Source organism: Homo sapiens, chromosome 1 (genome assembly GCF_000001405.40).
Source record: "Homo sapiens chromosome 1, GRCh38.p14 Primary Assembly".
NCBI classification, from domain to species: Eukaryota; Metazoa; Chordata; class Mammalia; order Primates; family Hominidae; genus Homo; species Homo sapiens.
In genome coordinates, this window is record NC_000001.11 from 205387709 (window position 1) to 205401291 (window position 13583).

The 13583-nt window shown below is 40.8% G+C and overlaps 1 protein-coding gene across 9 annotated transcripts in view; it reads right to left on the reverse strand.

Annotated features, from left to right (window-relative positions):
* The window catches only part of LEMD1 (LEM domain containing 1), a 68589-nt gene that overhangs the window by 6331 nt on the left and 48675 nt on the right, over positions 1 to 13583 (reverse strand). For 2 of the 9 annotated variants that reach the window (XM_011510163.3, XM_011510160.3), the window contains one exon: positions 10211 to 10294. The exons of 6 other annotated variants lie outside the window; for them this stretch is intronic. In XM_011510163.3, the coding sequence (XP_011508465.1) occupies positions 10211 to 10294 (84 nt within the window). Of the gene's footprint in view, positions 1 to 1867; positions 1934 to 10210; positions 10295 to 13583 lie in introns of all 9 variants that reach the window. One more of the 9 variants, XM_011510162.3, reaches the window with a different exon arrangement.

A 13583-nucleotide genomic window follows, 5' to 3' on the forward strand; every position in this document is an offset into this window, starting at 1 on the left:
CTGCTTTTCCACCCTCTTTGCTATACCTCGGCATTCAAGTCCGAAAATTCCACCACACTCCCAAGGCCTGAAGCATATTGCTGGCCACAGCTGTAGTTAGTTATAAAAGTAGTAAGTCAGAGATATGCCAATACAACAAACTGTGACTGTCTCACTACAACACTAGCTAACACGTATATGGCATTCCCTGTGCACCAGGCACCATTCTAAGCATTTTACATCAGTAAACTAATTTCATTCTCAAAACCACCCTATGTGAAAGGTGCTTTTATTGTGCCCATTTTACAGATGAGAACCCTGAGGCATGGAGCGTTTAAGTAGCTTGCCCATGCTTACACAGCTGGTGAGGCAATGGAGCTAAGAGCCCCACAGTCCCTGCCCATAATCACCACATGGTACTGCAGCATGATAGTGGAGGGAATTAGAAATACCATGTTCTGAACATCTATTATCTTGGGCATTTAACATACTTCAATTCACTTAATCTTTCTTTCTTTTTTTTTTTTTTGTGACAGAGTCTTGCTCTGTTGCCAGGATGGCGTGCAGTGGCGTGATCTCGGCTCACTGCAATCGCCGCCTCCCAGGTTCAAGTGATTCTCCTGCCTCAGCCTCCTGAGTAGCTGGGATTACAGGCGCGAGCCACAACACCCAGATAATTCTTTTGTATTTTTAGTAGAGACGGGGTTTCACCAGGATGGCCTTGATCTCCTGACCTTGTGATCCAACTGCCTCGGCCTCCCAAAGTGCAGGGATTACAAGTGTGAGCCACCATGCCTGGCCAATTCACTTAATCTTTCTAACAACTCTAGGAGGTAATTATTACAGTCACCGTTTTACAGAGGAGGAAGTAGAGGCTTAGGGAGCTGAGTTATTTGCCCTAGACAACACAATTCATAAAAGGCATAGCTATAATTTAAACCCAGATATTCTGGCTCCAATGCTGTAAAAATACATTTCTATTATTATAGAAGAACTCATCATTGAAAATATGTCAAAACATGTTTTTAAAAACTTTTCATTAATTAATAAATTATCAAAATCATTAATTTCCTACGGAAGTAACATTTTTAGTCAATAGTTCCATTCTTAATTTCTCGGATGAATTGACATTTTCATAAGGGTGTTTTTTTCCAGGTGGACTATTTTGTGCTAATTCTGGCCTACTTAGGTATATCACAGTCAGTCTGAAATAATATTGCATATGACATTTTATGTCATACTGTATCACATTACAGTTAACTACAAAACACTGGGCTAACATCCAGAGCCAGAAAGAACAATAATCATTTTGTATTCTCATTAAAATCACCAAAAAGTACATTTGCTTTCTTTTTTTTTTTTTTTTTTTTTTTTTTTTTGAGATAGAGTCTTGCTCTGTCGCCCAGGCTGGAGTGCAGTGCCACAATCTCGGCTCACTGCAACCTCCGCTTCCCGGGTTCAAGCAATTCTCCTGCCTCAGCCTCCCGAGTAGCTGAGACTACAGGTGCATGCCACCATGCCTGGCTAATTTTTGTATTTTTAGTAGAGATGGGGAGTCACTATGTTGGCCAGGCTGGTCTTGAACTCCTGACCTTAAGTGATCCACCCACCTCAGCCTCCCAAAGTGCTGGGATTACAGGCGTGAGCCACTGTGCCCAGCCTACATTTGGTTTTTTAAAAATAATCTACCTTGACTAGAGCCATCACTAACTGTCCATAAAGAAATACAAGTTTGTTTGCATTTCCACAAGACATATATTTACCGTGTAGGCTTGAAGTTGGCCAAAATTTCACAGGCTGACACCTGCAATTAAGGGTAGTCAAGAAAAGGGTGCTGAGAGCCCAGTTTCCTACCCTTTCTTTCTCTTATTCTCCCAAGACTCCTTACCGCTGGACTTGGAGAAGTCAGAAGGCAGGGATGTCCCTGAAGCTTAGGGATGGCATTCTCTCCAAACTGAAACATAATACATTCTCCAATTGCTCTAATTCAATAATGCAATTACTTCTTAAAGGCCTATATGTAGAATTGGACACTTTTACAAATGACATAGCAAACTGGAAGTTATGACCTGATTACAGGCAGAAAAAAGAAAAACTTCCTTTTGATTTACAGACCTTTAAAACTGAGTTAACTCCAAATCCCTTTATTGACTAAAAATTATTAAGTTGGTAAAAGATCTATAATCTTAGCAGACTTTTACTTCATTGTTTTTGCCTGAATCCTGATATGATAAAGCTTTTATTTAAAACGTTGTGTTCTCTTAACCCAAGTAATGATTTTGAATTAACTAAAAGGCTTTAAAAATTATCTGCACCACATTAACAAAAGCAAGGTTAAAAACCTTATGATCATCTCCATTCCTGGTTTTTAAAAAATCTTCTAGCAACCAGGGGAGGTGGCTCACGCCTGTAATTGCAGCACTTTGGGAGGACGAGTCAGGTGGATCACTTGAGGCCAGGAGTTCGAGACCAGCCTGGCCAACATGGTGAAACTCCACCTCTACTAAAAATACAAAAATTAGCCGGGCATGGTGGTGTGCATCTGTAATCTCAGCTACTTGGGAGGCTGGGGCAGGAGAATCGCTTGAACCTGGGAGGTGGAGGTTGCAGTGAGCCGAGATTACGCCACTGCACTCCAGCCTGGGCGACAGAGCTACACTCTCTCTCTAAAAAAAAAAAAAACAACAAACTTTTAGTAAACCAGGAATAGGAACTTCCTTAACTTGATAAAAGACATGTTCAAAAACCTACACCATAAGTCATACTCAAAGGTAAAATATTAGAAGTATTTCCTTTAAAATCAGGACCAAGGAAAGAATGTCCACTGTCATCGCTCTACTTCACTAGTATAATAAAAAGTCTTAGCCAGCACAGTAAAACAAAAAGAAATTAAAGCTATACAAACCAGGCTACAAAATAATCTGCAGAAAAAGTATTACAATTGCAAAGAGTTTATTGTTGTAAAATCAATATACAGAAGTCAACTTCATTTCTATACACCAGTAACAATTTAAAATATGCTTTAAAAGAGGTCCTATTCCCAATGGAGCAAAAATTAAAAGCCTACCTACTAATAAAGCTAACAAAAGATGAGCATATCCTTTACTAAGAAAATTATGCAATCTTACTGAAGGACATTAAAGGAAATTTCAATAAATGTAAAGAAATTAAAATTCCCATTTAAATACACAGGAACACAAAGATGGGAACAATAAGCAGGGGATTCCAAAAGGGGCAGCGAGGAAGGCAAGGGCTGAAAACACATGTTTATGTTTACTACCTGGGCGATGCGATCATTAGAAGCCCAATTCTCAGCACCGCACAATATACCTGTGTAATACCTGTGTAACAAACCTGCGCAAGTACCCCCTGAATCTAAAATTTTAAAGTAAATAAATAATCCATTAAAAATACCGATGTATATATGGAAACTTGATATATGACAAGAACTAACATTGCAGCTCAGAAGAAAAAAAAATGGACCATTGGAAAACAGTATTGGGAACAAATTGGGGTAGATGTACTTCTCTCAATTTATTCTGCTAAGTACAGCCAATCCCCCTGGACATTATACCTAAAACAAGCCTATGAAGACTCTGGAAGATATAGAGAGAAGGTCCACAGGCCAGGGAGCTTGAGACTTAGGGAAGACAAGGTGGTGAGTTCCCAGGGTTTGTTTTTTTTTTAATTTATATGTCCTGGACTGGGAGCTGGAGGAGCTGACAACCTGGAAACACCAAGGGATGCAGGTGAAAAAAAGCTCCCGGAAAAGCCAAAAGACAAGGAAAAGGGCAGCCTAGTAAAACAAAAAATTTTTTGATGTTAACTGCCCTGTGGCAGCCAAACAGCCCATCTCCGCCCCTACTAGCCAAGATGCATGAGAAGCCTGGACTTTCACCTCCATGTGGCAAACCCTCCTGCTCCGCGCCTGGGTGGTGTCAATGGAGCGCACATGGGAGCCCTCCCAGCAGCCCAGGAGTAAGGAGGCATCCCCCGCCTCCACGCACACCCCAAGGTGTCCCCAGTGGGAGCCTGGACTTTTACCTCCACCTGGCAGCAAAGAGGCAGTGCCCCTCTTTTCCCACCAGCATAGAGTCAGAAAAGGTCTGCTAAAACAAGATTTAAAAGCCACCCAGAAGGCCGGGTGTGGTGGCTCATGCCTGTAATCCCAGCACTTTGGGAGGCCAAGGCAGGTGGATCACTTGAGGTTAGGAGTTCGAGACCAACCTGGCCAACGTGGTGAAACCTCGTCTCTACCGAAAAAAAAAAAAAAAAAAGCCGGGCATAGTGGCAGGCACCTGTAATCCCAGCTACTCAGGAGGCTGGGGCAGGAGGATTGCTTGAACCCGGGAGGCGGAGGTTTAAATGAGCCAAGATCACACCACTGCATTCCAGCCTGGGCGACAGAGAGAGACTCTGTCTCAAGAAAAACAAAAAACAAAAACCATCCAGGGTCTCCTGAGGGGAGATCATAATAGACACTGACATCAAGATGATACAAATGTTGGAATTATGTTACCAAGATTTTAAAGCAGCTGTCATAAAATGTTTCAATGAACAATATGAACATGTTTGAAACAAATGAAAAAATATAAACTCTTTGCAGAGAAGTAGAATATATAAAGAAGAACCAAGTGTAAATTTTAGAACTGACAGCCTGCGCAGCAAAGCAAGATCCCATCTCTAAAAATAAAATATAAAAAAATTAGCCAGGCATGATGGTGTGTGCCTGTAGTCCCAGCTACTCGGGAGGCTGAGGCAGGAGGATCGTTTGAGCCCAGGAGTTTGAGGTTACAGTGAACCATGATTGTGCCACTGTACTCCAGCCTGGGTGACAGAGTGAAATCCCGCCTTAAAAAAAAACAAATTAGAACTGAAAAAAATACAACCAAAATATGGACTCAATGGCAGAATAGAGAAGACAGAGAAAAGAATCAATGAATTTGAAGATAGAACAATATAAATCACCCAAGCTGAATGACAGAGAGAAAATAGAAAAAAATAAACAGTGTCTCAGGGTCTCATGAGACTGTAATGAAAGACCTAACATTTGTGTCATCAGAGTCCCTAAAGGAGAGAAGAATGAGGTGGGGCTAAAAAATTTTTTGAAGAAATAATGGCTGAAAATGTCCCAAATTTGGCAAAAGACATAAATCTACAGATCAAGAAGCTGCATGAACCCAAATCAGATAAACCTAAAGAAATCCATGCCAAGACACATCATAATCAAACTTCTGAAAACTTTTGTGTAATAAAGGACATTATCAAGAAAGTAGCCGGGCATGGTGGTACATGCTAATAGTCCCAGCTATTCAGGAGGCTGAGGCAGGTGGACTGCTTGAGCCCAGGAGTTTGAAACTACCCTGGGCAACATAGTTAAAAAGACAATGTATAGACTGGAAAAAAAACTTGCACATCATATATCTGGGGTCTATTATCTAGAATATATAAAGAATTCTTACAACTCAAAAAGAAAAAGAAAACCCAGTCTAAAGATGGGCAAAGGACTTAAACAGACATTTCTTCAAAGAAGATATAGAAGTGGCCAATAAGCACATAAGATTCCTTATAATAAGATAATGACCTATCTTGATATAATGATGTCATAAGATAATGACATCATTAGTCATTAGGGAAATGCAAATAAAAACTACAATGAGATACCACTTTATACCCAGTAGAATGGCTATTAAAAAAAAAAAGGAAGACCGGGCACGGTGGCTCACACCTGTAATCCCAGCACTTTGGGAGGCCGAGGTGGATGGATCACTTCAGGTTAGGAGTTCGAGACCAGCCTGGCCAACATGGTGAAACACCATCTGTACTAAAAATACAAAAATTAGCCAGGCATGGTGGCAGGCACCTGTAATCCCAGCTGCTTGCAGGGCTGAGGCAGGAGAATCCCTTGAACCCAAGAGGCAGAGGTTGCAGTGAGCCGAGATCGTGCCACTGCACTCCAGACTGGGTGACAGAGAGAGACTCTGTCTTAAAAAAAAAAAAAGGAAAATAGCAAGTGTTAGCAAGGATGTGTAGAAACTGCAAACCTCATACATTGTTAGTGGTAACGTAAAATGGCCCAGCCACTGCGGAACACAGTTTGGTACTTTCTCCGAAAGTCAGATATAGAATTATTATATGACCCAGCAATTCCACTCCTAGGTACCTAGCCAAAAAAAAAAAAAAAATGGAAATCAGGTACTCAAATACTTGAACATGAATGTTCATAGTGGCACTGTTCACAACAGCCAAAAGGTAGAAACAACCCAAATGTCCATCAATGGATGAATGAATAAACAAATTGTGGTATATACATATAATGGAATATAATTCAGCCATAAAAAGGAATGAAGTGCTGACGCAAATACATGGACAACATAGATGAACCTCAAAAACCTTATATGAAGCGAAAGAAGTGAAACACAAAACATCACACATTGAATGATTCCATTTATGTGAAATCTCCAGAAGAAGTAAATCCATTAAAACAGCAGATTAATAGCTGCTGCAGGGGTGGGGTGGGGTGGGGTGGGGGGTAGAGCGACTGGCGGGTAACCGCTTAATGGGTATTGGTTTTATTTTAGGGTGACAAAAATGTTTTGGAACTAAAATAGAGGTGGTGGTTTCACAGCATTTTGAATGTACTAGATGCCACTGGATTGTGAACTGTATTATTTGTTTATTTAATTAATTAATTAATTAATTAATTAATTTTTTGAGATGGAGTTTCCCTCTTGTTGCCCAGGCTGGAGTGCAATGGCACAATCTCGGCTCACCACAACCTCCACCTCCCGAGTTCAAGCAATTCTCATGCCTCAGCCTCCCAAGTAGCTGGGATTACAGGTGCCCACCACCAAACCCAGCTAATTTTTGTATTTTTAGTAGAGATGAAGTTTTGCCATGTTGGCTGGGCTGGACTCGAACTTCTGACCTCAGGTGATCCACCCGCCTTGGCCTCCCAAAGTGCTGGGATTACAGGCATGAGCCACCAAGTCTGGCCTATTGATTTATTTATTTTATTTTGAGACCCAGTCTCGCTCATGCCTGTAATCTCAGCACCTTGGGAGGCCGAGACAGGCAGATCACGAGGTCAGGAGTTTGAGACCAACCTGACCAACGTGGTGAAACCCTGTCTCTACTAAAAATACAAAAATTAGCCGGGTGTGGTGACGTGCACCTGTAATCCCAACTACTCTGGAGGCTGAGACAGGAGAATCGCTTGAACCAGGGAGGCAGAGGTTGCAGTGAGCCGAGATCGCCCTACTGCACTACAGCCTGGGTGACACAGTGAGACTCCTTCTCAAAAAAAAAAAAAAGTTAATTTTATATTGTGTAAATGTCATCTCAGTTTTTAAAAATCTTGATTCTTGTCATTGTACTGTGATTATATAAGTGATATTATGTCTTTATTCTAAGGAAATACATACTGAAATTTTGGGCAGAGGTCAAAAAAACATGATGTCTGCAGTTGGATCTGAAATAGGGCAAGGAAAAAAGATAGATAAAATTGTAAAACACCGATGGAAAAATCTTAACCACCTGTAAATTTGGGTATGGTTAGATTCAACATGACCACGTAAGAATTCTTTGTTGGAAACTTTCTGTAATTTTGAAATTATTTCAAAATAGGCTGGCCATGGTGGCTCATGCCTGTAATCCCAGCACTTTGGGAGGCTGAGGTGGGCGGATCATCTGAGGTTGGGAGTTTGAGACCAGCCTGACCAACATGGAGAAACCCTGTCTCTACTAAAAATACAAAATTAGCCAGGTTTGGTGGTGCATGCCTGTAATCCCAGCTACTCAGGAGGCTGAGCCAGGAGAATTGCTTGAACCTGGGAGATGGATGTTGCGGTGAGCCAAGATCATGCCATTGCAATGTAGCCTGGGCAACAAGAGCGAAATTCTGTCTCAAAAAAAAAAAAAAGAAAAAAAAGAGAAAGAAATTGCTTCAAAATAAAAACTACAAATATTAGCACATCTAATTTTTAAAAGGCACCAAGAAGAGAGTAAAAAGACAAACCAAAACTACTGGAAGATACGTGCTACACATATAGCTAGCAAAAGATTGGTAACCACAATATATAACGAGCTTCTATAAATTAAAAAGAAAAAGGTAAACAACCTAATAAAAAATGGGCAAAAGACATGAATAGGCATTTCACAGATGAGAAAACACAAATGACCAATAAATGTGAAAAGATGCCCAAACTTATTAATAATAAAATACATAAAAATTGCAATAATAAAATACCATCTTACACCCACCACACTGACAAAAATAAATCTAGCAACGCTAAATTCTGAAGAAGATTTAGAACAATGGAGCATTTGTTTTTTTTTTAAGACAGGATCTTGCTCTGTCGCCCAGGCTAGAATGCAGTGGCAGGATCAAAGCTCATTGTAGCCTTGAACTCCCAGGCTCAAGCCATCCTCCTGCCTCAGTCTCCTGATAAGCAAGGATTGCAGCTGGGCACCACTATGCTCAGCTGATTGTTTTCTTAAATTTTATTTTTAGAGACAGGGTCTTGCTATGTTACCCAGGCTGGTCTTGAACTCCTTATTTGAACTCCTTCCACCTTGGACTCTCAAAGTGCTGGGATAATAGGCATTAGCTACCATGCCCAGCCCCTGGAGTTCTTAATATATTACTGGGGGAAGCAAAAAATGGTGCAACCATGTTGTAGAGCAATTTAATATAATCTCTTAAGTTGAACATGTGTAGACCCCTTCCATTCAGCAGTCCTACTTGTAGGTACATTCATGCAATCAGAAAAAAAAATTCTTACACATATAAACACTGGGTCCTGTACCACAAAGTTTGTAACAGCATTGTTTGTGTTAGAAAAATTTGAAAATGATCCAAATGTCCAACAAATAGGGAATGAATAAAAATACTTCTCCAATAATTCTATATAGCAGTGAAAATAAATGAACTAAAGCTACCAATAATGACCATGTAAGCTCACAGCATGATGCTGCATGGTAAGGGAAGCTGCAGAAGAAAACCTGCAGTATAATATCATTTAAATGAAATACAAAATCATGAAAAACTGAACTAAAGTTTGTGGATGCTATAAAGAAAAGGGAAAGAAGGATAAGTAGAAAATTCAGGTTAGTGGTTGCCATGGGGGAAAAGGAAGATGTCCCAAGAGGGATACACTGGGGGCTTCAGCTGATTCAGCAATGATTTATTTTTCAATCTTTTGGGTGGGAATCCAACTTCTCATTACGTAATTCTTTATTCCTTTTCATATGCATAATGTATTTTATTTTAAAAGATTTTCAGACACAGTTTTTTCCTCCCCACTTGGGCAAATTCCAGCTACCAATCTGCATATGTCAGCCCATTTCTAACTGTGCTGATTTCTGTGCCATGGTTTTAGTTTGTGATTGGAAGGTTCACCAAGAAGTGCCTCCCATGGACTCTCACTACGTAGCAATCATCAGAAAGACGAGCCTTTGCTTCCGCGGGAAAACAGATGTCCCGAGTCCTTCTGTAATACCATGGAAAGGACACTGAGGGGAGCTATTTCATCACTCAGGTGCCTGGTCTTTTTTTCCTCCCCTGTGGCCTTTTGATATAATGGAGAGGGCAACAGAATGGAAATTAGGCCACTAGATTTCTATTTCCAATTTTCCTCTAATCCTCTATGTGGTCTTGGGCAAGTCATATTCCCTTTCTGCCTGTGTCCTCATCTGTGAGATAAATCACATAGTCTCCTCCAAGAAGGCTGGGCAACACAGCAAGACCTCATCTCCACAAAAAATGTAAAAATTAGCAGGGTGTGGTGGCACACACCTGTAGTCTTAGCTGCTCAGAAGTCTGAGCCCAGGAGGTCGAGGCTATGGAGAGCTATGATCACACCACTGCACTTCAATCTGGGAGATAGAGTGAGACCCTGTCTCAAGAAGAAAAATTATCTATAATAAATCATTCCTGGACTCATGAATTGTAATGAATAATGCCTAGTGCTTACGAAGCCCTGACAAGTCTCAAGAGATTAAAAATAACTCAAGGGTGCTCATATGGGAGGTACAACAGGAAACTCCTCTTCCTAAAATGAAGACATAGATCCCTACTCACAAAGCAAAGTATAATTTAGCTAAAGCCAATATTGGTGTATTCTTAGATGAAAAAGAAAAGAAAGCTGAGTTTTCTAAACAAATCCATATTTTTTTCTACAGGAGAACACCACTGCTCATAACTCAGTTTTATGAAAATAAGTAAGTTTACCCTTATTATCATCTTGGAATCATTATAATCAGTGTTTGGTTCCACTATTTCCTCCTGCTGCTCTTGAATTTCAAAAACTGGGTTCTATTACACAGAAAAGAAATCAACATTTCATCAATAAGATCAAGATATATTGATCATATCTACCAGGAGGTCAATATTTTTACAGGAAGAATGTTAAATTACATTCCTTGTAAAGATGGCATTTAGCAGCTCCCTTAGCACACGTCAAAGGTAAGAAGAAAGGGCTTATTAAGTAGTTCAGACACTATGTAATTTTCTCTTCACTTTGACCCAACTTGAATATACAACTACTACTGGGAATAAGGAAGTTTTTCAATTAATTAAGAAACTATCAGAGAGATGTCTAACATCAGGTCTTCTAAAACCTGTATATACAACTTGAATCACACACTACTTAATGGTAGTCCTTTAATATATATTCCCATGATACACTAGGCCTGCTGGTGGCAGCCTTTGGGGTGGGCCCTGCACATGCTATTGTAGGCTTACAAGGTATCTCATAAGCAACAATAGAAATTGAGGCACAGAGAGTTAAAATCCCATTAAAGTTTTGGCAGAAAGACATTGAAATACACTTAAAATTTGGAAGCAAAAATGAGACGTGAAGTTTTCCTTCCCTTCCTTATCGTCCCCTGGGGTGTCAGTATGCTCTACACACTAAGAAAAGAGGCAGAAGGGACATGGACACAGAAGTGTTGGCATGCCTGGAGGCCAAGAAATGGAGTGGTGAGGTTGTGGAGGGTTTCTGCCTGCCTGGTAGTAGAAGAATTAGAGCAGTGGGAGGGGTAGGGGGACCAGCATGGACACATTAGTGTGCCCTGGGGCAAGGAAGAGGGACAGTGAGGGGAAGGAAGAGGGCTCTCTTGTAGTAGGGGCTGCAAGGGGGTGTTGGTATGTTCCGTGGTCACGGACATAGTTACGGGTGATACAGAGAAGAAAGTGGTTATTGTGACTGGGTGATTAGTTACACTGAGAAAATTAGAAAATTGAGGCTGAGTGTGGTGACTCACGCTTGTAATCCCAGCACTTTGGGAGGCCAAGGCGGGTGGATCACCTGAGGTCAGGAGTTCAAGACCAGCCTGGCCAACATGGTGAAACCCCATCTCTACTAAAAATACAAAAATTAGCCGAGTGTGGTGGTGCAAGCCTGTAGTTCCAGCTACTCGGGAGGTTGAGGCAGGAGAATTACTCGAATCCAGGAGGTGGAGATTGCAGTGAGCTGAGATCACACCACTGCACTCCAGCCTGGGCAACAGAGCGAGACTCCATCTAAAAAAAAAAAAAATAGAAAGCTAAGTGAAAATGTACACACAGTGAGGCTAATGGAATCTATAATCAGAGGATAATGGAATCACTGTCAGATAAGTGATTTTATAAAAGTGAATGATTAGAAAGAACATTGGGTTGTTAGATTGCAATTGGAGATAAATAGAAACTCACAGTTTTTAATTTACATAAAAATAGAGATGTATGTGTGTATACGTATACAGATACATACATTTATTTTCTAGCTCTGTCCACTGAAAAGGGCCTAGAAGCAATGAGACCCAGTAGAAAGGTGCTCACTGAAGGCCTAGATCTTGGTTTCCAAACACCTTGTGAAACACCAAACATCTTGTGAAAGGAATCAAGGCTCCTGGGGCAGGAAAAGTATAAGATGAGTCTGAAACATCTTTTGTGCCAGAAACCAAGGAAGTGCTCAAATAATGATGAGGACATGTCAAAGGACACAGTATCTATCTTGAAGGGGCTCCTACTAGCCAAATCTGGGAGGATTTGAGTATGAAAATAGTGATGTCAGTGGATACAACCCATTGGATGAAAAGAAATCAATGAATTCATACTTACATGAATGAATGAGTGAGTGAGTGAGTTATTGAATGAATAGGGAGAAAGGAAAATGCTTCTTACAGTAGAATGCCAACTAATAAATGAAGAAGGACTGATAGAAATAGAAAATCTCAATAGGCCATCACCACAGTGGAAGCTGATTCAGGCAGAGTGCTCTACAGATGCTAAGGCTAACGAGTGAGGGTCTGTGAGGAACAATATGTTGGTGTCATTTCAGAATATCTCCCCACAGAATGCTGTTCAATTACAAAGGCAAAAATAATGTTTTGGGGTTTTTGTTTTATTTTGTTTTGACACAGGGTCGCTTTGTCAACCCAGACTGGAGTGCAAAGGTGCAATCTCACTGCAGCCTCAATCTCCCAGGCTCAAACCATCCTCCCACTTCAGTCTCCCAGGTAGCTGGGACTACGGGCACGTGCCACCATGCCCAGCTAATTTTTATGTTTTTTTGTAGAGAAGAGGTCTCACTATGTTGCCCACTATTGAACTCCTGAGCTCAAGCAATCCACCTGCCTTGGCCTCCCAAAGTGTTGGGATTACAGGCGTGAGCCACTATGCCTGGCCAAGAAGCCTGACAAACACCAACTTTTCCAGGTAATTAAGGTTAACATTACTAGCAGTGGGACACAGTGACATTGTTTGTCCCACGGCGATGTAATGAGAAGAGCACAGCGCCATTTCTAAAGAATTCCTGCCGAGAACGCATGGCCTCTAATACTAATCAAAAGGAAAAATCAGACAAATCCAATTTGAGGTTCACCCTTGTGATGTGATACAATAAGAAATATACACTTGGTCTTCTGTTCCCCCTCCTGGCACAGAGCTCCTGAAGCCCTTGTAATTTCCTGAGTAATAGGTGTGATAGAAGCATCTTTTATTATAGTATTTTTGTCTTTTTTTTTCCTTTTTTAAATTATTATTATACTTTAAGTTCTAGGGTACATGTGCACAATGTGCAGGTTAGTTACATATGTATACATGTGCCATGCTGGTGTGCTACACCCATTAACTTGTCATTTAGCATTAGGTATATCTCCTAATGCTATCCCTCCCCCCCCCCACCCCACAACAGTCACCAGAGTGTGATGTTCCCCTTCCTGTGTCCATGTGTTCTCATTGTTCAATTCCCATCTATGAGTGAGAACATGTGGTGTTTGGTTTTTTGTCCTTGCGATAGTTTACTGAGAATGATGATTTCCAATTTCACCCATGTCCCTACAAAGGACATGAACTCATCATTTTTTATGGCTGCATAGTATTCCATGGTGTATATGTGCCACATTTTCTTAATCCAGTCTATCATTGTTGGACATTTGGGTTGGTTCCAAGTCTTTGCTATTGTGAATAGTGCCGCAATAAACATACGTGTGCATGTGTCTTTATAGCAGCATGATTTATAGTCCTTTGGGTATATACCCAGTAATGGGATGGCTGGGTCAAATGGTATTTCTAGTCCTAGATCCCCGAGGAATCGCCACACTGACTTCCACAATGGTTG